This window comes from Homo sapiens, chromosome 5 (assembly GCF_000001405.40).
Source record: "Homo sapiens chromosome 5, GRCh38.p14 Primary Assembly".
Classification (NCBI taxonomy): domain Eukaryota; kingdom Metazoa; phylum Chordata; class Mammalia; order Primates; family Hominidae; genus Homo; species Homo sapiens.
Window position 1 is genome coordinate 79,833,381 of NC_000005.10, and position 24,126 is coordinate 79,857,506.

The 24,126-nt window shown below is 46.7% G+C and overlaps 1 long non-coding RNA gene across 1 annotated transcript; it reads left to right on the plus strand.

The window, feature by feature from the left end:
• The first annotated feature begins 7,256 nt into the window (after positions 1-7,256).
• LOC102724557 (uncharacterized) lies at positions 7,257-12,981 on the plus strand. The gene is made up of 6 exons (XR_001742517.2): positions 7,257-7,331; positions 7,707-9,417; positions 9,805-9,985; positions 10,683-10,779; positions 11,432-11,620; positions 12,805-12,981. It is a non-coding gene; the product is annotated as an uncharacterized LOC102724557 (long non-coding RNA).
• The last annotated feature ends 11,145 nt before the right edge of the window (positions 12,982-24,126 follow it).

Here is a 24,126-nt window from a genome sequence, read left to right on the forward strand (position 1 = left end):
TTGCCAAGAGACTTAAAAATGTCACAGATACTGGGGGTGGGGTATGGCGAAGGATTGCCTAGGTGGGAAGGCACTCAGGGAAAAAGAGAAAGAAAATCAGAGGCTACGTGCTGTAAAATAAATCCAAACATGTAGGCCCAGCAGTCCCAATACAGAATAGACTGGATAAATGAAGCTAATTAGTTCACTAGCTTGTGAAGCAAAGCTACAGCAAGGATTGACTGTGGGGTTGGCAGTTATTCACCCTGCCCTTGCCCTTGCCTGCAGCCACAGCAGACGTTACTAATGGATTATAGCACTCTTTCTCTCTGGGCTGACACTTGACCTCCCATTCCTTCTCAACAAAATGCTTAATGGTTTGGATTGGAGGTAGCCTCTTAGACGAAGCTAATTTTTTTAAGCTAGTAGGCTTGAAGACTGTAGTTAGATCAGGAGAGCCCACATAACAAGAGTACATGGAAGCTACATTCATTAAGGAAAAAAAAAAAGCTTTGTGGCCATATGCTGGAAGAAACTGCTTCATGAGGGGTTTGGGCAATTGGTGGTGGTTTGTGGAAGGACCATGGACCAAGTGAAGACCAGTAGAGGAGGGAGAGGGTCAGAGCCTGCTGCTGTAGGATCCCTGAGCCTGCTGCTCATCTCCCCTGAAGCCTCCCCTAGTGTGTGTGTGCAGGTGCGCAAGAGAGCGTGCACACACACACGCACATGCACAATTAATCCCCTAAACTGTGACACCTATTTAGATATTTGGTAGCTTACATTTAAATTTAAATTAATTAAAATGAAATACATCTAAAAACATAGTTCTTCAGCTGCACTAGCTGCATTTCAATTGCTCAGTAATCACCCATGGCTACAGTATTGGGCCACAGAGACAGAGAGCATTTCCATCACCACAGAGAGGTCTCTTGGCAACCTAAAGCAAATCCCATGGTATATCTTACTTATAACTTTGCTTAATAGCCCAGCATCACAGGCCCATCCTCTCCTGGTGGGAGTTAGTCACACAGGCTTATTAATAGAAACTCACCTCTTGAATCCCTCCCTCATCTGCGCAGACAGAGGGATCAGGCAGGGGGAAAGAAGGAGAAAACACACAATTTCAAGAATTGAAATTATTTTTCTCCAACATGAAAGTTACAGGAAGAACAGATGGCACTTTTTGAAAAATGAAAATCTGGGATCAAAGAGAAGGAAAGTGCCAAGAATGAGTCTCAGGGCTGCTGTTGATTTTTCCTGACCGCCCCAGCCAACTCAACATGATCATTGTTGTTTCTGTTAAACACACACAAATGTTCTGAGTTTGAAGATTGTCTCTGCGTTGCAGAGAGAACTCTTACTTTTATATTCAGTTGAAAAGAAGGTACTATGGTTTGCCCAAACTTTTTATGATTCTATGATTTCCTATTCTGCCTGCCTGTCGGCTGTTTTGTGTATGAGGCAGAACAGATAGCTTTGACCTTGGAGCTGCTCCACGGGAGTTTCTGCAGATGGTTCTTAATAATAAGGTGTTTGCTCATTTGTTCCTAGGTTCTTTTATTTCAAAATAAAAGTGCAGCCAAATTGACCCATGGGGAGAAACAGATTAGGCAGAAAATAGCATCTCTTTAGATTTCTTACTCTAAAGTACTGATCCCATCTTCCCATGAAATTGCCCCACCAGGATGCTGGCAATCACAGACACGGGCAGGCCAGAGGGAGGCGAAGCAGGACCCTTAGTTCCGGGCAGCCACCTGCTGAGGGCCAGGAAAGTCAGCTGAGGCTGGGAGGACAGCCTGAGAGGCCAGGATCCAGAGTCCAGGGGGTCAGTGAGAGGGCAGGCCCAAGCTGTTCCAGCTGCCAGGCAGGCACCTCGGAGGCGAGCACAGGCCATTTCCCCACCAGCCTGGTCCAGGTGGCCTCGAGGCTACAGGGGTCATCTGGGAATGGGTCCTGCCCCTGCTTGAGGCAGAGATGAAATCTGGGTCTATCAGACCTGAGGGACTTTTAGGATCCTCTTCCTAGGTCCCCACAAAGTGCCTGAAGATAGGAAACACTTGATGTGCTTGTTAAGCACAGAGCACCGGGGCCTGAGCTTGGTTGCGGGGGGTATTTAACAAGCTACTCAGTGACTCTGACCCGAGGAAAGTCTAGGAAATACTCCTCTACCCAGTGGTTCTCAAGCTGCACCCCACAGAGCCCTGAGGTCTCTCAAGGATTCTTCAACACTACAGGTGTGGCATAAAAGTGAGAAGGAAGGATGAGTGTGCGAAACTCAAGGCCCCCACCCCTGCTGCAACCTGATAATGGTGAATCATGGTAGCAAATGCTCACTAAACCCTTCTGTACTAGGCACTATACATGCATTATCTCATTAATCCTTACTGTAACCCTATGAAGTAGGTTTTTTTCTTTTCTTTTTTTTCTTTTTTTTTTTTTTTTTTTTTTTTGAGACGGAGTCTTGCTCTGTCGCCCAGGCTGGAGTGCAGTTGCTCGATCTCGGCTCACTGCAAGCTCCGCCTCCCGGGTTCACGCCATTCTCCTGCCTCAGCCTCCTGAGTGGCTGGGACTATAGGTGCCCGCCACCACGCCCGGCTAATTTTTTTGTATGTTTAGTACAGACGAGGTTTCACCATATTAGCTAGGATGGTCTCGATCTCCTGACCTCGTGATTCGCCCGCCTCGGCCTCCCAAAGTGTGGGGATTACAGGCTTGAGCCACCGTGCCTGGCCTGAAGTAGGTTTTATTACAATCTCTATTTTACGAATGAGAAAGCTAAGGCTCAGAGGGTAAGTAGCTTGTCCAAGGTCACACACCTCATAAGTGGCAGAGCTGGAATTCGAATTCTGAAACTCCTTCCCATTACGTCATGCTAACCTTGAAGAAGCTCCACTTATATTTGTTTTATCTGTTATTGGGGGCCTTGTCTACAGAATGTATTCTATTGCTAATACAAATTTGAAAATATTAACTTAAAAACACACACACACCATTTATAAATTTAGAATAGGAGAGGAGGCCGGGCATGGTGGCTTACACCTGTAAACCCAGCACTTTGGGAGGCTGGGGTGGGCAGATTGCTTGAGCCCAGGAGTTCAAAAGCAGCCTGGGAAATATAGTGAGACCCCCCCGCCCCACCTTAAAAAATTAAAAAAAAAAAAAAAAGAAAAGGAAAGCAGACTTTATTTTTTATAAGGTGTTATAGTCCGCAAGGTAGCCATCCCACAGACTGGGAAGCACAGCCTCCAGCCAAGACCAGAGAGACGGGCACTTGGAAGGAAGAGAAGTTGGGGTAGGAGCTTTATGCCAACCCGGCTGGCTAAACATACATATTCAATAGGTTGCAGGAAGTGCTATGTATACTCATGAAGGTAGTCCTGACACGGGCGTATTGAAACAATATGTATATAACATATGACCCATGTTCACCTTGGGATGGAGACTGAACATTGAAATGTATTACAGCTAGGCCCTATATGTCAAAAGGTCTTTTTAGCAAATGATGGCACTTAAGTGCACAGCCTCTGTAAGCCAGCCGGGACCAGTCCATGTTTGGTGGTCTTCCTATCAGGAGAAAGTTACAGAAATCAGTCTCTTATTCAATCACAGATACGATACAGCTGGTAGAACAGGGGATCAGTTAGTCAGTGTCTGCGAGCTGGATGAGCTGTAATTGTTTTAATCTTGCTTATCTTGAGTCCAGTTCTTGTTCAGCAGCTAGAGGAGGGGATAAAATCTCGTGGCAGTTAGAACATGTTCTTTTTTTTTTTCTGCGACAGCGTCTTGCCCTGTCACCCAGACTGGAGGGCAATGGCACAATCATGGCTCACTGCAGCCTTGACCTCCCTGGCTCAATTGATCCTCCTACCGCAGCCTCCTGAGTAGCTGGGACCACAGGCATGTGCCACCATGCATGGCTAATTTTTTTATTTTTTGTAGAGATGGGATTTTGCCATGTTGCCCAGGCTGGTCTCGAACTCCTGACCTCACGTGATCCCTCCACCTTGACCTCCCAAATTGCTGGGAATACAGGCATGAGCCACCCACTGGGCCCACAGTTTATTCTTTAAGGCGTGTGTGACTTAACCCTTGCCTGGCATAGCCTTAGATCCTGTGTATAATATGGTATCTTATTGTAACAAAGAGTCTGTTCTGTCAATCTTATGGTCTCTATTTTAACCTGAACGCTGGTCAGTTGTGTTAAAACCATAAAAGAGAGGGGGAATAATGAGGCATGTCTGACCCCCTGCCTCGTCATGGCCAGGAACTGAGTTTTAAGGCTTTTCTAGAGTCCCCTTGGCCACAAGGGGTTTGTTCAGTCAGTGAGACACTTAGGATTTTCTTTTTAGTTTACAAAAACATACCTAGTCTGATCCCTACCTTTTATACAAGAAGAATCAAAGCCCTGGAGAGGTGAAATAATATGTGGTCACAAAGCTGGTAGCTTCCCCAAGAGAGGCTAACTCTGAACCGGCTTCTGTCCCGAGCCAGAGTGTGCCCAAGGTCAACATGGCCTGCGACATTTCCACCTGCAGTCTGGAGGGCCTCCACCCAGATTCCTAAGGCCAGTGGACACCATCTGCTGAGGAAGAGTTATGGCCCCAGCTAAGGGCTGGATCCAGTACTAGGGGCACTTAGCCAAAGGAGAAAACAAATGTCACAGTTTATTGTGAGCAAATTTATCATCTTGTTACATGGGACCATGACTTCTTTGTCAGCCTGCCTCACATCCCTGCAACTGCAACTGAATCTGATCCTCTTTCACTCCTGTTCTAATGAATGTCCCTGTGGCTTAGGGCCTCCAGAAAGGGTGAAATACTTTTTTCTCAAGGTGGCTGTATTTCATGTGCTGGTGACATTTCTCTCTTCCCTGAGACTGGTTCATCAATCATTTGGAGATGTTTTGTAACCAAAGGGCAAATGTATTTCTCAGAGGAGCAGCCTCCACTCCAGCTCCCTAAGCCAAGGCCAGGTGATTAGGGAAGGGTTTGGGGAGCAGCCAGCCCCTGTCTTCCCAAACTAGCCATCTGGGAAGTGAGCATGCTCGCCTTTTGCTCCCTCTGGGGAATGGACGCACCGCAAGATGCCTGTGAGTCCTGCTCCTGGAACATTTGGGTTTTTGCCAGGCTACTGTCCCTCTGAGGGGGAGAAGGAAAGTTTTATAAGCTTCACATGCACTCTTTGCTTGGGGAATCCAGTTGAGCCTCCAGGTTGATTTATTTGATTAAGTATCCAAGACCTAGTGTTTTAGTTAGTTCCCCCTGTCCCCCACCCCAGGGCTATTGTCAAAGCTATCCTTTCATATTGAGAAATCAATTTTCCTCACTTTGCTGAAATGAATTCACATAGTGCTCATTTTGGAGAGGACTTCACCCTGCAGGAGACTTCTTGAATGATGCACCTCTTGACACTGCGCTCTCGGAGGGGCTTAGATTCGAAGGGGTAGTCTTGGCTCCTTTTATGGGCTCCTGGTGCTCTCAGGTTTCTTTTTTTTCTTTCTTTCTTTTTTTTTTTCCCGAGACAGAGTCTCGCTCTGCCGCCCAGGCTGGAGGGCAGAGGCGCGATCTCGGCTTACTGCAAGCTCCGTTTCCCGGGTTCATGCCATTCTCCTGCCTCAGCCTCCTGAGTAGCTGGGACTACAGGCGCCCACCGCCATGCCCAGCTAATTTTTTCTTTTTTTCTTTTTTTTGTATTTTTAGTAGAGACGGGATTTCACCGTGTTGGCCACGATGGTCTCGATCTCCTAACCTCGTGATCTGCCTGCCTCGGCCTTCCAAAGTGCTGGGATTACAGGCGTGAGCCACTGCGCCCGGCCCTCAGGTTTCTAAAGAAGGCAGTTCTACCAGACAGCCTTTAAGCATCTCTTGTCATTGCATGGCAGATGGATCGCAGAGAACTGCCTGCATTTCTCGCAGTTGTAACATCTCTGATATATCTCAGCAGAAAGTCCCACAATAAGCAAATCTGACCAAGGAAATCTGACATTTGTAGCAAGAGCAGTACTGCAATGCCGCACGTCTGTAGAAAAGTCTGGAAAGACGGATGAGCAGTTGAAATGAGGGCAGGAGAAGCAGGGACATTGAGAAGGGAGCAGTGCAGCATGAAGGGAGGCAGCACTGAAGGGAGGGCGGGTAAGAGCCTCAGGCTTCCCACCGGCCCAGGCTTGAATCCTGGTGCTTCTGCTTTCCAGCTGTGTCTCCATGAGCAAGTCTTGGTGACTTCATCTGAAAATAAAAACTACATCATGGAATTGTTAGAATTAAATTAGTTAATAGAAAACACAGTGTTAAATGAGTAACACCGAGCCTGGCACATAGTATGTGCTCAATAAATACTAGCTGTTGTTATTTACCTCTCCTTGGGAAACCACAGTGGAACCCCTGGCTTTGTGTGGGGACCTGACCAGTGAGGTTTGGATTCTCCCTGTGATTTCCCCACAACTTGGGCCACCATGTTTCCAGGGACCTGGGCAAGTGGAGTGGACTGCTTAACCTGCCATGAGACATGGGGTTCAGCTTCCTAAAAGCAAGGAGGCTGGAAGGCAGGTGATTTGCTCAGGGCTGAAGTGCTCCTCAGTCTCCTGCCCTATTCATTCGCCATTTCAGAGGGGATTTTTCTGTTAATTAAAGAGAAGGGAGACCAATTACATTCACCTCTGCTGCAAGGAGAGGAGACCCATCGGTGTCTTTGCAAGCCCAGCCTCATTCCAGCACCTTCCTCCCCAACCTCGTTAGACAGAAGACTGGGTCTCTTTTTCAGTCTCTTCAAAAGGAGGATGAAGGACTCCCAGATAAAAACACAAATGGCAGGGATAATTAAATCTGGCAGTGTTTGAGGTAAAGCCCTGGCCTCTTTCTGTCCTTCTACCTCCACAGGCGCTCATTCCTGTCCTGTGCAGTCCTTGAGTAGAAAGAAATAACAAACACTCTTGGCTCTGCAGCGAGTTGCAGCCAACCATGTTTATGAACTGCAGGGAGAGTTCCCCAGCTAGAGCCTCAAGGGCTGTCCTATGGGCTGGTACAGCTGCCTAATAAAAGACCATTTTCATAATCAGTGTTCAGTGAAAACGTGCCATTTTCATTTATAGAAACAGTGAAGCCACCTGCTTCATAAAGGCACCCTCCTCCTCTTCTTCCTCACCCCAGGGCTGAATCTTCCAGCTCCCTCCCTCAACCAGCTGTGTCTTGTCAAAGCTCCAACCTCCTCCCTGAGAAACAGAAATCTCTCTGACCATCCACCCCAGGTGCATTGCTTTTCATACTCTAGAGTCTAGGATTAGGGGCTCACCCACAAAAATAGCTTCCATGGAATGGTCAGCCTAGCAGGAGCTGGGGGTTCTCCATCAAGTGAAGGTAAATCCACAATGAGTCTCCTTCTGAGCCCTGACTCCCTGATGCACTCCCTGCCGATTCCCACACAGCCCCGGCTGAGTCAAGCACTGACAACTGAGAGGGTGGAAGAGGAGAGAAGAAAAGGCTGCTGCAGAGACAGGAGCACAGGAACCCACAGTTGATAGAGAGCCTGGGAGCAAAGGAAAGGAAGGAAGCAAAACAAAAAGACGAATGCAGCAGGACCTCCATTAGCCAGCCAGCTTGGGGAATGGGTCATTATGGTTAATGGAAGTTTCTAGTTAACTGTGAATGAAGCCAAAATCTTTTTTGTCTTAACCCCTTAATTTAGAAAAGCTTTCCACAAAATGTGACTTCACTTTCTTATCTCTGTTACAGATGGGGACTATGAGATCTTACGGCATCTCAAAGGGCAGAAGTCTGGACAGGAAGACCAGTTGCATAGTGGAGGGAAGTATCCTAACCTGGATTAAATATATGCTGAATTCCTCTGTTTATCCTAAAAGCTAAATCCCTGATATAAACTTGCTTTTTCATGTTTTTATGATTTAGCTTTATTTTAGGGATTTAACTTTATTTTAACCATGGGTTACTGAGAATTTTTGTTAAAGTTTAATGGCATTGTGTACTCCTATTCACTCTTCAGAATCTCAGTTCAATATCACTTCCTCCATGAAGCCTTCCTGATTACTTTTTCCTTTCTTCCCTCAGGCCCTCCCAGTTATTTCCCTCTCTAAGGAGCATACTATGTTTAAATAATTTGTTAACATGAGCTACAGGGGGCAGGTGGTTGAGGGAGGGCTTTCTCTGTGAGTCTGCTTATTAAGAAGCTGAGCTCCCAGTCCTTGCCTTGTGATAATAATCAAGCCCCATTACTTGAGAGCTCGCAGAGGGCAGAAAACAAGGGCTGCTTCACTGTTACATGCACAGGCCATGGCCTGAAACAAGGAAGGGAAGGAGGGAGAAAACAACGGGAGGACAAATTCTATAAACAGGTCAGAGGAGAGGGAGAGACATTATTTATCAGCTTGGTGATTTCAACTTAATTCTGAGAAGACTTAATCCATGTCTGTTTCCCTCTGGTCTGTAAAACAAAATGCCTCCTACAATGTTTCTGAGTTGTTTCACAACTCAGGAAGACGATATTTCTCTTTGCCATAAGACAATACATTTCCTAAACGTACTGTAGTGGGTAAGGGTAGGGTGGGAGTTTAAAAAAGAAAATCAGTCAGCAGCTATGAAGAGCCAAAAGGACACAGTGTCAGATCTGTGGAAATTGAACCTAAGGATAGATCTGAGACCAACAAGAGTTAAATGGTCAACTCCACTCAACATTTGCTGAGTCTCTATTCTGTGGGCCCTAATAGAAAGTCACCAAAACAGTTCTTGAGGGGTCAGGACCTATTGCTGAGAGTGGCAAGTCAGGAGTAAAGCAAAAAGAGGGCAGGACTGGCCTCATGTCCAGTTGCACAGCCCTGGTTGTGCCATGTCTCTGGGCTGGGAGACAGCTGCCTGGCCACTGGCCCTTGGGCCATTAAAAACACAGGGCCACAGAAGGAGCAGGCAGGGCTCATATCTGGGGGATTAGCTCCATCTGCCCTGAGTGCAGTGGAAACCGTGCATCCTTCCTCTTCCCTGGGCCTCATCCTGGTGCCTGCCCCCAGCAGTCCCTGGCAGCCTCATGTCCACCTGGCCATGATGTCAGGTCTATTTAAGCCAGGGACCTGGTGATCCTTTCCACAGCCCACTGGGAAGGCCTATGTGTTGCTGAAAAACAAATAAACCAACAGCTCTCTGTCACCATGGGTTCTACAGACCTGGGGATACACGGCAAAGGCCTGTCGTGGAGGTTGTAACTCTTTGTCCTTTAGGATTCCCAAGGTAGACCACGTGTGTGCCAGCCCAGCAGGCAAACTGCCCCGTATGAGTTTGTCCATCAACTGTGCGTGCAGATCTTTACTCGCATGCATGACACAGGAAGCCCACGGGACACTTCCCCAGCACGCCCCGCTTCCTCTGCACTCCTGGAAGGAAGACCTGTTCTTGCTTCTTCCGTACTCTCAGGATCTGGCACAGAACCCGACAAAGGGTAGGTTCACAACAGATGTTTCCCAAATGAATATAATAATTCTATTTTCAGGACTCAGTGATGATGGGATGAAAGTCTGGCTCATGGTCCCTCTGCTTCTTTAAAGGGATGGGCTCACCGCATCTCCTTAGGGACCCCATGAGCTCACCTGCTACTCAGCCGCCCATTCCTTATGCCAGCAAGTCAGAGCATGCAGGGTTCTGCCCCAGGTGGGCTTGGACTAATGTACTTCACTCTTCCCTCCCTCCTTCCAGCCAAGGTGACCAATTGTCTCAGGTTGCCAAGTCTGAGGGGTTTCCCAGGACACAGGACATTCAATGCTAAAACCAGAGATGCCTCAGGCAAATGTGCACAAGTCGGTCATTTCATGCCTCTTTTCCTTTCTAGAAATATTTAATGAACTATGGCGTAGGCCTGGCCCTGAACGACACCCTGGGGACCCAGCAGCAGCAAGGTGCAGCTTCTGCCCTCAGCAACCTCACGGTCTAATGGACGCGGCACAGTGGGCAGGAAGTGACACCAAAGAGCATCAGGATTAGGAAGTCTGTTCGGATTAGCATGGAATCAGGTCAGGGAGACAAACATTTCCTTAATATTTGGAAATATTTCCTTAACATATGAGTGGGAGTTTACAACAGTTTTCACATTCTGGGAGTACCACCGTGTTCCTGAGGACTCAGGAGACTCAGCGGGCTAACAGTGTTGTGTGTGGAATGGGGTTGTTATACTCAGGAAAGTACAGACCCAGGCTGTCGGAATGTGTTGACTGTTTACTTGGGGAAGGAGAGCTAACTACAGAGCCAATCTCCTCTTGCTGGGGAGTGAAGAAATGTCAACTGCATTTCCACCCTGTCTCATCAGCTTTGTCCCTCCCTTCTCTACTCTATGTCTCCTCCCACATCCAAAACATAAACATAAGTAAGGACCTCGGCCCAGTCGCAAGATCGTTTCAGTTCCTTTCTTCTCGCACCTCTGCCTTGATTTCCAACACGTCTATAATACAGAGCCTGTTGAAGCCAGGGCTGGGAGTCACCATTGCCTCTTGGCCTAGGATGTCAGAGTCCGAGTTCCACACCCCCACATGGGCAGCTCCGGGGAGCAAGCATAGAGTATTTAAGTCCCCCCTTCATGGCCGTTTCTCAGATAGCTGGGGGAAGGACCTTCAATAGTAGGAGGGAGTCTGCTCACAACCTGCTTCTTGGTTGATCACATGCTACTCTTGAAACGGAGATAATGTCTGGCCTCTCTGATTTTTCTGGCTTTAGAGTCTCCCTGCCCTGGGAATCATTGCTGGCCATGGCAGTTGCTGAGACTGGGAGCTAAAAGGTGCATCTGAGTTGGAGTCTTGTCATGTTCCTTCAGGTGTGTGTTGGACCAAGCTGCCTACCATGTGTACGCATACTGCCCACACATGTGGTTAGCACCCTGGATGGTTCGATTCCATGTCAGCTTGGCTGTTGGTGGGAAGTGGATGAGTGGTCCATGGTGAGTTCACTCATTTCAAAATGGCAGCCTGTGTTTACTAATGGATCGAGGCCTCTTGGGTTTTTCTAATTGACTGAGGCCATTATTTCTCTCTAGCACTCAATTCCGGGGGTAACTAGAAGTGATGACTTATAATCAAATTTAGGATTTTTATCTTTCATTTATTATTATTATATTCAAATTTAGAATTATTATCCTATTCGTTGCAGTTTCACTTTGTCTTATATCTGTCTTCTACACAGGCCTTAACAATATAGTTGTTTCTGACTGGTTCACTAGAGAAGCCTTGGTATGAGTCAAGGGTGGGATGTCTTCCTCAGCCTGTCATGGAAAGATTCCCATGAATCTTCTTCAGGAGGGCAGGTGGTCATGTTTCTGGCCCACCAGCTCTGATGGTTGCACTATCTAGGGCCCATTAAGCTGCCTTAGAAGAGCTTGGCACTGCAGGAGGTAGGGCCGAGTATCCTGTTTATTGAGGGCCAGAAAGCCCTTTCAGAGCCTATTCTTCTCATCTGCACACTTTCAGCAGACTCTCTGGAGCAGCCCAGCTTCCCAGAACTGAGATCACTAAACCAAGAAGAGGAGGCACCTTGGACCTGGGTAAAGGCTCCTTTCCAAGCTACTGCACAAAGAGGCCCAGGAGAAATCAAAAGATCATGGACTGTTTTTGCTATTGCATGTGTTCCACCTTCAGTATGGACTGTTGCCCTCCTTGCAGGTACTTCCCTTTAACTTTTCTTTTTGGCTAAGATCCTTTGCAATGTATTGTAGAACTTCTGCCTGCCAGATGTTTTCCCCTAAAGTCTACATCAATGTCAGTAGTCTATTCTTATGGATTCAATAATTCATTACAATTCTGAACTGGATTTGCAGGATCACTCTATTATTATAAAGGAGAGAAAACCCTATACCAAAAGGGGCAATGCATGTAGCATTTTTTCTTTTTTTGAAACATGTTCTTTTATGATTGGAAGGACAATAAAAGAAAAGATTATGCTGAAATCATTAGGAAATAGGTTTAGTCACTGAGGCTGAAATATAAAAGTATGGAATGAAAGCCCTCTACAACCCTGGTGGAGTCCTAAATAAAAACTAAAGCCCTTTCAATAAAAATAGCTTAAATTTGCACTGTGATGACATGTATAATGATGATATTGATGACAAAGACTAAGAAGAGGAAAATGTCAACTATAATGATGTGGTTTGAGTGCCTGACCAAGTGCCATGCATGCATTGATTAGGTTACTGAAATCTTTATACCGGAATGCTCCACAGTTTTACAACAATTGGCATTTTAGCTTGACTGGTATCAGTTTGTTCAAGCTGGGTCAAGAAGGATTCTGGAGTCACATGCAGGGTCATCAGCAAACTATGCAATGATCAATTTTAGTGGTGTCAGATACAGCCAAGAAAGGAGGTGGAGAGCAAGTATGTCATGCACTTACCATCCATGCAGCTGAAACTATGGTTTGTTTGTGTCTCTTCTCATTCTGCAAGGGGTTGAGTCATCTCAGCTGTTGTATTTTGTATGGGGTTATTCATAAAAGCACTGTAGCGGGTTGGCTACCCTCTATTGCCTTCCTATCATACGCCAGGCACTCTGCTGCATTCTTTGACTGCATTATCGCTAAACTTCAGAAGCGCTAGGACAGTGGCCTTTCTTGGAGTAACCTTGTGCCCCATCGCCCACCCTTCTTTCTGCTTCCTGTGGGTGCATAGTCAGTTTCTGTGACAGGGCTGATGTCATGATGATTTCAAGTGGTGAAATCAGAGAGTAGGTGTTGTCTTTGGGCCATTTCATGATTTGGCCCAAAGACAACACCTACTCCCTGAATAATATCCATGAAAACTTAAGACAGTCACTCAAGTGAGTCATATTTTCCCTGTGGATATGACTTGCAGATGTCGAGATGGAACCTCACCAGGGCTTCCTTCTGAAATGAAACTTCCAGAAAGCAGCAGACAGACCACAGAACATCCTTCCTAGAAAAAGAAAAGCCGTCTGTAGACCAGCAACAGCTCTGATCACATGACTGCAAGCAAGGTTTCCAAAGAAATCAAAATGATAGCTTGAAGAATGAGCATTGACAATTTCTTTGTAGAAAGATTCAAATTCACAATGTGATCAATTAAAAGGAATCCTAGCTTACATTTTTTTCTCAAAAAATATTCACAAATACTGTCTTATTTGATTCTCATGTTAACCTGTGGATATAGGCGGTGAATATGAGCCGTGAAGACATTATTCTCCAATTTATAATTGAGAGAAGGGAGGGAGGGCATCAGTGACTTGCATCTCAGGGTACATGAGAGTGAGTGATTGAGACAGACTCAGGTCTTTTGGTTACTCCTAGTACAGTGCTCTCTCCACCTCATCCTGCCTTTACAAACTGGAGGCAGGTTAAGTAGCAATTCATTTATTTTTCTTTCAGAAAGAAACATAGCTTTAAAAGAATGAGGATCAAAAGTTGTATAAATAGATGAGGCTGGTGCAGTGGCTCATACCTGTAATCCCAGCATTTTGGGAGGCTGAGGCAGGTGGATCACCTGAGATCAGGAGTTCGAGACCAGCCTGGCCAACATGGCCAAACCCTATCTCTATTAAAAATACAAAAAAATTAGCTGGATATAATGGCAGACACCTGTAATCCCAGCTACTCGGTAGGCTGAGGCAGAGAGAATTACTTGAACCCAGGAAGTGGAGGTTGCAGTGAGCTGAGATGGCGCCACTGCACTCCAGCCTGGGCAACAGAGCAAGATTCTGTCTCAAAGAAAAAAAAATTGTATAAATAAATGTAAAAAATTCAAGTATTTTCATTCTATTTTATAATACAGTCAAGGTGTTTTTTCTTTTTTTTTAAAGGTAGAAAAACTGAGGGGCAGAGGTAAGTAGAGACAAAGGAACAGAAAAAGACATGCTGTAGTGCCATACAGGCCCAAGGCTCACAGGGAGTAACAGCCCCATAGTGTGGCTTTTTTAGGATACAAAAGTGTGGTCATGTTTTTACAACTGTACGCAGAAATATGGGCAGTACTTCTGTGACCTGGTGACACTGAGGATAAAATTTGAGCCAGGAGCCAGAGGTCCCGTAGTACTGGCCTGAAACCAGGGAGATAATTCTTTGTGATGCTATAATGTTTTAACTTCTAGAATGAGCCTATTGCCCTGGCTTTAGTTCTTTCTTTATAATAAGGTGCAATAATGACTATGGAGAGCATAGAACATGAAGAGCAAGGGAAAGCCTGCAGAAGGAAACCGGTCACAGCCCTCTAACGGGTGCTCAGCCTCCCTGCCCATCAGAATCGCCAGGGAAGCTTTAAACATGCAATTCCCAAGCCCACCCCAAACAATGGAGTCAGAATCCTGGGAGTGGGACCCAGGCATCAGTACTTAACGCTCCTGGGGTGCGTCTAGGATGCAGTCAAGGTTAAGTACCTTCTTTAAGAGATTTGTCCAAAAAGGCTGACTGAGGAAAGGAAGAAGCACTGAAATGGGAAAATTCGGACGTGAGATTGAGGGTAGCCAAACAAAACCTTCCCCTGGAAAACAGATTGAGGACAAAAGATGCAGGGACTCACGAGGACAGAACGCTGGGCACGCAGTGGTTGAAGATGGTCTCTCTTTGACTGACTTTCCATGGGTGAAGATAAAGGAGAGAATTGAGGGACTTCCCTGGAAAGTTTAGTGTAAGAACATCTTCTGCCTTTTTGTATTTAATTAATCTTTCTTCTAAATAAAACATTTTGAGGGCTGGGAAAAGGCGCTAAATCTGCCAATTTGTTTGGGTTTTGCCTTACTCTGCCTTACACAGCAGCGGTATGGGAGGAATACTCACCTGAGGGAGCACACTCTTAGGTAGAACTCCTAAGCTTCTCTTCCTCTTTTTCTTTCTTTCTTTCTTTTTTTTTTTTTTTTTTTTTTTTGAGACGGAGTCTCGCTCTGTTGCCCAGGCTGGAGTGCAGGGGCGCGATCTCAGCTCACTGCAAGCTCCGCCTCCCAGGTTCACACCATTCTCCTGCCTCAGCCTCCCGAGTAGCTAATTTTGTTTTTCGTATTTTTAGTAGAGATGGGGTTTCACCGTGTTAGCCAGGATGGTCTCCATCTCCTGATCTCGTGATCTGCCCGCCTCGGCCTCCCAAGGTGCTGGGATTACAGGCGTGACTCTTCCTCTTAAAGAAGGAAAATGCTGTGGCTGTGAATAGGACACACGAGGAGACACACAAGGAAACCCACATCAGTCACCACAAAGGTGATGAGACACAAGACCAGAGGAAGTTGGCAGGAAGAGGATGAATGAGGGGTTGCGCTCTGAGACAACCTGGGATAAGAATGATTAAAAAAAAAAATCACTTTCCTCATTCTGAGACTGCATTGGGATGAGGAATTGCTCCTTTCATGACTGATCTAAAAGAAGCAATGAGATTTCATTTGAGATGAGGTCTTGATGTCAATATCACCTCACTTGCCGTTGATACCCAAGCCCAGGAATCCTCAGCATCATTGCCCTCCCTGCGCTCCTTAGAGCCGAAGCTCCCTGCAGTGGGATACTTACTCAGCTTTGCATCCTTTAGGGCAAACAGTTCAGCACCTACTGAAGTGAAAACTAACCTGTAGTATTATAGAAACTAAGTGAACGTGTTGGAATGAGTGATTAGATGCAGCTAGTGTTGCTGGTGACTTTATGAGCAAAACTCCCTGCCTCTCTCAGAAAAGCAGCTCCCACCTCCTGTTGCTGCAATGTCAGTGGCAACACCCTCTGCAAGGACAGGTTCAAGAAAGGCATTTTCAAACCCCTCCCAAGCTTGTTCAAAATGGCGCCACGGTCGGGTGCCGTGGCTCTCACGCCTGTAATCCGGCACTTTGGAAGGCGGAGGCCGATGGATCACTTGAGGCCAGGAGTTTGAGACCAGCTTAGGCAACATGGTGAAACCCCGTCTCTACAAAAATTACAAAAATTAGCTGAGCATGGTGGCGCAGACCTGTAATCCAGCTACTTGGGAGGCTGAGGCAGAAGAATCGCTTAAACCCGGGAGATGGAGGTTGCAATGAACTGAAACGGCACCGCTACACTCCAGCCTGGGCGACAGAGTGGGGCCCTGTGTCTGAAACAAAACTAAAAACCCAAAATGGCACCAGAAGGCAAAATCGACTAGAAGAGCTCTCTCAGTCTCTTTGGGTTTTTTTTGTTTGTTTGTTTGTTTGTTTTACGAGGAGTGGGATTTCTCAGTGGGCATGAGTAAGGAGGGGGCGGTGCAATGGCAGCACTTAGGATAGCAGGGCCCGCCACTTGTCCAGGGGCTGCAACTGGGGGTGGACTTAACCCCACAGCCATCGGGATGAGGTGTTTCTCAGCCATGTCTTCAAATTCATCTGCATTAAACCTGGTAAAGCCCCACTTCTTGGAGATGTGGATTGCCTGGCAGTCAGGGAACTTGAAGTTGACCCCCATGTGGGCCTCGATCACATGCTCCTTGTTCTGCAGTGTGGTGCCGATGGACACGGCAATGTGGCTGAGGTGAACCCTGGCCACTGTGCCCTGGGGCTCTCCAAAGACCCCCCCCACATGCCTCTCTGGAGCCGAAGGTGGGGACAGCATGGGGTCAGAGATAGGAGCATCCGTTGGAAAGATCCGTCTCCAGGGTCCCTCGGAGTAACTCATACCAACAGCAGACTGCTACACCTCTGAGGGGCTACTGTGTGCAGAGGCTGCACGTAGAAAGAAGGGTGGGCTTAATCAGCAGCACAGACTAGAGGAGTTCTTGAGGCGGCATTTAAAATGATAACCCTTGGAGAAACGGGGCAGAAGCGCTGAGAGCAGAAGGGGGTCATGTGGTCTGATCTCACCCAGACCCAGGGCCTGGGAGGCAGTTGAGGGATTAGAGTACCAGGTGTCACTGCTTCCCAGAAAACACAGCTTGAGACCCAGGGAGAAGAACTTCTGGTGCCAAAGTTCTTTCTGGAAGGTCTGCACTGCTCTGAAACTGGGTATCCATGTGGGCCTGAGGACCGGTCTTTTCTATTGGTGAGAAAGCTTCTGTTACCTCTGCAGCAATAAGTCCTGAGTAAGCTTCTGGAGACTGAAAACCCGGCGACTACTGAGCAATGCATCGGCATGCACACTTAGGAACCTTATTTGGAAGCTGACGTCTCCTTTGCTCAAAGTCTGGCTTCTTTCCCCCTAGCATATAAAAAGTTTCCAGTCTGCATCTCCCCTCCTCTGATGTTCTTGATTAATCACATTCTGAGGTACAGCTTGGAGCCTGGCCTGAGCCATCAGTGAGCGGAGGCAGATATATTGGTCAAGACAATTACAGAGATGGGTCAGAGCATCAGAGGCTTTGGCCGCAAGTGCTGGCGATTAAGTTAGAATCCTTTGGACAAATGGATTAGTGCTGACTGGATGGGCTCACTCAGACAAAGGGAAATAAAAGACAACTTTCATCAAGACTAAGCTGCATCTCCCAGCCAGGCAGCCATCGTCAGTGCCTAGGAATGTCTGTTCTGGGACGCAGGGTCCAATTTGCCTCATTAGCCGGGACGCTGCACCTGCATTGGACAGGAATATGGTCCAAATTTGGAGGCCTAAGAGGAGAAAATCTAAGCCAACCTCTGTTGCTTCCAGAAGATTCCAGTCTTATGAAGTGAGACATCTGTCTCATTTGGGGTCAGATAACCACTGGACCCCAAGTTTACGAACATAGATACTTTGCAGTAAGCCAAGGGGCTTCCAAGAAATATGGCTGGTCTCAGAGTTGAACTGTGTTTGGGTTGACAGTGGCCTTTTAAATTCTCTGGCATCACCAGAGCCTGGCTGATGGGACCTTGCCTTTAATCAACACCGAGTAAAGAAACCTTCCAGGTGTGGGCTGGGGCTGCAGGGTACGGACTTTCCTGCTGTGTTCTCCTCCCCCTTGAGATGTCGGGGGACAAGGGCTTGGTTTGAGGTTTCCCGTGTGTTTCTTTGATGGAAGCACTGGGACCTTTGAAAATCAATCAGTAATATTCCTTCTGATTGGGGAAATCAGGGAGAGCAAACTGATCCCTATCTTTAAGGAAAGGTGGGATTTAGGCCAACATTTCTCACATCTGATTGCAGCTTAGAATTGCATGGGGCAGAGCAGTTAAAAAACTAACGCGTGGGATCTATCCAGACATTTCTCATGTAATTGTCTGGGGTGAGGCTCAGACATCCAATATTGTTTCTAAATCTCTTTAGCTGACGTTAATTGGCCAGGGTTGAGACACTCGGATTTCAGGTCCTCAACCGAAAAGAGAGTTTGTGTGTGCACTGTGTCCTGTCTCTCTAATTAGATGATAAACTCCTGGAGAGCAAGGATGGGGCCCCGTGTTTGGCATCTTCTCCCGCAGGGTTTAATGGAGTGCTGTACACCTTGGGTTCTCAATAAGCATTTAAATACAAATGCTTGGATGCATGAGCAAACAGCATTACTCTCTCAGAAATCTCATCCACTTGAGGCAGTGACAACTATTTTAAATACACTGCAATGCAGAGGCCCCTTTAAGGATGTCTGGGCCAGCTGGCCCTGCCACAATTACACTCAGCACCATTGTAACTGCTGAAGAAATGTCTAGACAGAAAAACCTTCCAGGCAATGAAAGGTAGAAGGTGTTTAGGGTGTATATATATATGTATATATTTAATTTTTGTTTTTGGCGAGTCTCAGGTAAAGAAAACAGAGAAGCCTCATCATAGGCAGATTATTTCCTTCTGTGACTTGCTGGGGAGGATTATCTCATTATCTGATTTTCCTTAGGGAAGTAAGACAAGACAATAGTGTCCCTTGTCTAAAAACTTCTGGAAGGATCCTCTGCAATTATCTAGATATACCATTATGATTCAAGTACCTGCGGGTCTGACCACTTCATTGATAAAGAAGGTTTATTAAGGAAATTAACAAAATCACCAGAAAATAGAGAGGTAAGTAAGAAGAACAAGTCAAGAGAGGGTGGAACTGGAGTTTAGAATGAAACCTTCCAATACAAGCCGTCTTTGCTAAATAACACTATCATCCATAGACTTTATTTTTAAAAAATGATGAGCATTTTGAATTTTAAAGGAAGCAAACACAACAGGGAGGAATTATGAATCAAGAATTTGATTGAGACTGGATGAAGCATCACAATTAAGCGCTTAAAATACCATAAAAAGTAAATTTCTTGCCTTCCTTTTCCTTCTGCTTTTTTTCCTTTCTCTTCTTTCCTCCCTCCCTTCCTTTTCTTAACACTAATTGAGCTGAGAAGCAAAACTTACCATCACATTTACTCAAAATGGTCATGATCTAATGGGGGAGACAGGAGGTGGCATCAGGAGCTCCGGCCCAGGGTAGAATGTGAGATGCTCCCAAAGGGAAGGGAGCTTTGCAAAGGGGACAAGATGTTTTAGAAAGAGGAGAAGCAGCATTCACAGATGAGTCCGGAACAGATTCTCAGAATCTGAAAGGCCATCTAAGGCCAACTTATCCAGGGTCCCTTATGGGATCCTAAACTGTCAGTGGTTTTATGACCTTTCTTCAGTATCTGTAGTCATTCAATTGCCAGACAGGTCAGCATCCCAAAGACAAATGATAGACAAAGTCTGTATCTGTCGATATCCATCAGGACTTCTTTGGTTATAAGAGACAGGAAATTGACAACCTGGTTGAAGCAAAAAAGGTAAAGGTAATTGAGTGCCTCATAGCACTGAAATGTTCAGAAAATAGTCCTGGCTTCAGTCGAGACTGAATGTAGGGGCTCAAATGACATCTACTCTGAATCTCTCAGCTTTGCTTCCCTCAGGTGTTGCTTCCTTGTTAGGCAGGCTTTCCCCTTGTGAAGGCAAGACAGCCACCACCTGCCCAAAGCTCCTGTCTGCTCAGCAACCCAGGCGGAAGAGGGCAGCTCTTTCCTGCTAGCCTTGGGCAACTCTCAGGCCAGCTGGAGTCAGGGCTGATGCCTAGACTAATCACTGTGGCCAGGGATGGAGGACACGAATGGACCAGGCCTGCTACAGAAACACCCCTGGGGCCAGACAGCGGACACAGCTCCACCCAAATCATTGAGAGTAGGGATGGGGCTGCTCCCCAAAACAAAACCTGGGGACTGAGACCAGAAGGGGCAATGGGCTCTGGCCAGTCAAAAACAACCCAAGTCCCCTTCAGTACAAAACACATACATCTATAAATCAGAAGAACAATTCATAGGAAAAATAAAGTAAAAAGGTAAAAATTCCCCCCCAAATCCCACAGCGTATATATAATGAACATATTTGCATTCAAAACCTTTTTCCTGTTCCTAAGCTAAAATGCCCCTCTACAGTTCTTATCCAATGACCCTAACTCCACCTTCCTTAGCTACATAGCAAAGGTTAACTCCTTTTAGAAAGCAGAAGACACCCTCCAAATGTTTGAAGACAGCTCTCATGTCCCTGCCAAGTCTTCCTTTCAGCCCAGTATTCTACCTGTGCCTCAGTTGTTCTGGTTTCCTGACCCACTGGGTCATGGCCGTGATCCTGCCTGAGGCTGGCTGCAGTTGGTCCATTCCTTCTTGACATGAGCTGCCTGGATCAGACCTCAATCCTTGATAGTGTGGATGGGCAAAAGGGGGCTGCCATTTCCCTTGCTCCGCATACCACCTTTTGTTCACAAAGCCTCTGATGACATTCACTCTCTTGGCAGCTCTGGCCCTCTGCTGGTTCATGCAGAGCCCAGAGTCCACCCAAACTCCCAAAAGCCTAAGTCCTCCCCAGAACACCTAGCCTCCCCCATTCCACACCACTGAATTCACAATTTGAACCTCAATGCAGGATATTGCAGGATATCACATGCATGTTGACTAAGCTTTCTGGTTGTTCCATTTTGGTTTGCTTTAGTTCCAGCCCGAGAGATGGTGTAGAGCCCCCTACTGCCACGCATGTGTCAGCTCTCTGACTCAATGGGAGTCAGAAGCACGTTGACCCAGGTGTGAGTCATAGGTGGGAGGGTGACAGGACCGAGCCAAGGCTACAGCACACACGTAGAGTGCTCACCTTGTTCAGCACACACTTAGAGTGTTCACCTTGGGTTGGCACCAGTGTGAGCATCTGTGGATGACCAGCTCTGATGCTCGCAAACTGTGCTGCCATCTATGCTGTACTTCCCTATCTGGTCACTAGAGGAAAGGAGATGACCTTTAGCCTGGGGTGAAAGTGGCTGGAATTTCAATAGAGATGGGGAGTGGGACTGGGGGCGATTTCTAGGTGTCAGAGCTCCACATATAAAACATGAGAGAGGGAAAGGCAGCCACCCTTGAGAGAGAAGCCCCTGAAGAGAGGGAACAGGTAGGGAATAAGCAGACGGCGAGAACCCTGAGGGCCTGCGTGTCAGTGAGGAGCCCGCCATTCAAGACGTTTGGAGCAGAGGCCTGATGGACTCGGAACTGCCCTATAGGAATACCCCGGGCTGCTGGGCAGGGAGGAGTGAGGCCACAGTAGCAGACTAGAATCTACATAAAGGAAGTTAAAGTCCCTAATCAGGACATAATGGTGGTGAGGATAGGGTGGGGGAACAGAGAAAAGGCATTCCAGAAATCAACTCAAAAGGACTTCGCAACTGTGTGTGTTTTGGGGCTGAACTGGGAGGTATAGAGAAAGAGTGATTAAAGATAACCCTAGGGTTTTAAACCAGAGGAAACTGGAAAGTGTTAATACCTGGATCAAAATTAGAATAATCAGAAAGAGCAATGGATTTGGAAAAAGAGAAATTGTGAAGGAAGAATTAGACTTTAGGTAAGTCGGTAGTATTGGTGGGATTCTGATGATGAGTGGCAGGTGGTTAGAAAAATGAGGGCAGGCATTTGTGGAGAAGTTGGAATTGGAGGTGACAATTTGGTTTGTTATATAGAAATAAGAATTGAAGCTTCAGAATTGGTGTGTTCAATATGGAAGAATGTGAATGCTGGTGAGGGCTGTGGACAGGTAAGTTGCGAGTGATAAAGTATTCTGCAATGGAAATTTCTATCATTAGCATCAGGATCCCATGCATGAGATAGGAGGAGAATAAAAAACCAATGAAGGAGAAAGAGAATGTAGGTGGAAATCTGAGATACTGCAGATCATCATAACCATAATTTGTCAAGACTTTTTTTTGCAAGTGATAAGAAACAATTCAAATTGGTTTAATAAAAAAAGAGATATATTGCCTCATATAACTGGTAAGTCCAGGGTAGTCCACATTCAGACGCATTCAGTGGCTCAAAGACATTGAGACTTATTTTTACTCCTACGCTGTATTCTACTTTCCTCTGTTGGCTCAGGACTCTTCTCTTTATGGTGACAAAATAGCAGTCAGGAACTCCATTCTATCTTCTGCCGCAGGAGGAACAAACAGTTCCAATGGTTGCCATTACATGCTCACCTCTGAGCCAATCTCTGGGGCCAAGAGGTGGCTATGCTCGGATGTGAAGCCACACTCAGCTCTGACTTGCTGGTCTTGGAGAGAGCAGCACCTCAACCTGGACACTGAAAATGGGATGCTGAGGGTGGGAGAGGGTTGGTTCCCTAGAGGAACACTGGGGTGCTGCTCCCAGAAGAAGGTAGAATTGACACAACCAAGACAGTGACTATCCACTACAGAAACCAAGGGAAGAACTTCAGGGAGGGTTGTAGTCAACAGTGACAAATGATGCGGAGAGGATGACGAAGAGAAGTGAATGGGCACAGACTTCAGACATGGTGGCTGAGTCATTTGTTTCTTTCAAAGATTGTAAATATGTGAGGAAAACAGATTTTAGTGGGTGAAGGGATGGGTGGGAGTAGAAACACTACAAAGGCAGGCAGGCATCTGCTATTTCAAAGAAGTCCATCCGTGAAAGGAAGCAGACAGACTAGCTTTCCCCCAATTCTGTCCCACAATTACTGAGCGAGACGCCGTGCTAGGAATTGGAGCCCCAAGATTAATAATTCCCAGTCTACATTCTCAAGAAGCTCAACGCTTGGAAAGGAAGAGATAATTGTAAATGAATAAATTATGGGGAGAAGGAATACGTCATGATTCCAAGGTTTCAGAGCGGGAAGTTACAACAATGAGAAGCTGATATTAAGCCAGAGCTATCACAGAAGACAGAATGATGAAATCAGTCTGAGTGTACAAGGAAAGGCTTTTCAGGGGAGGTGGTACCTGAGCTGGGTTTTGTAGAATGAATGGGAGCTCATTTTAGGAAGCAAGATGGGGAAAGCAGTGCCAGGCAAAAGCAAACATTCCTTAAGAGGTTCACAGACGCGTACTGCTACAGGGAAAACTCCAGAGGATGGGAAGAGTAGGCAGGGAGGCCTGTGTGATATGCTGAGGGGTGTGGGGCAGGGGCAGTGAAGGGTTTTTAGGTCAGTGCAAGGCAATGTCAGATTAGCGTGCTAGAAGAACCTCTCTGGACTCAGTCTGGAGGGAAGCCTGGGGGAGACCGAGGGGCCAGTTCAGAGGATGTGTTGATAGTCATGTAAAGGAGTGACCAAGTCCAGCACAAAGAAGGCGGGGACAGGGAAGAGGGGAAAGAGTGAGAGGAGCACCAGGAGAGGGGAGAGCCCGTAAGACAGTGAGAGGGAGGCAAGCTTTGAAGACAGGTGATGGGGCTGAGGGCAGGAGGAAATGCATCCCTGGAGAGGGTGACGCCAGAGGTGCAGGTGGGAAACGGGTAATGGGAGGAGGCAGAGAAGGTGGGCTCAGGCATGGGTGGAGGCGGAGAGAGGCCAAGCAGTCAGAGAGGAGGAAAGATGGAGAATATGGATAAGAACCCAGGGCAAGAGTGAGAGAGGCAGGAGAACAGTTGAAGAGCTTTCCTTCTCTCCATGAAGAAAGCAGTGAGGGCCAGGCATGGTGGCTCATCCCTGTAATCCCAGCACTTTGGGAGGCCGAGGTGGGCGGATCACCTGAGGTCAGAGGTTCAAGACCAGCCTGGCCAACTTGGTGAAACCCCCGTCTCTACTAAAAATACAAAATGTAGTTGGGCGTGGTGGCAGGGGCCTGTAATCCCTACTACTTAAGAGGCTGAGGCAGGAGAATCGCTTGAACCCAGGAGACGGAGGCCGCAGTGAGCCAAGATTGTGCCACTGCTCTCCAGCCTGGGTGAAGAGTGAGACTCCGTCTCAAAAAAAAAAAAAAAAAAAAAAAGAAAAGAAAAAAGAAAAAGAAAGCAGTGAGATCACCTGTCACTATATGTGGGCTGCAAATTTCCCTTTGGGGAAAATGGGGATA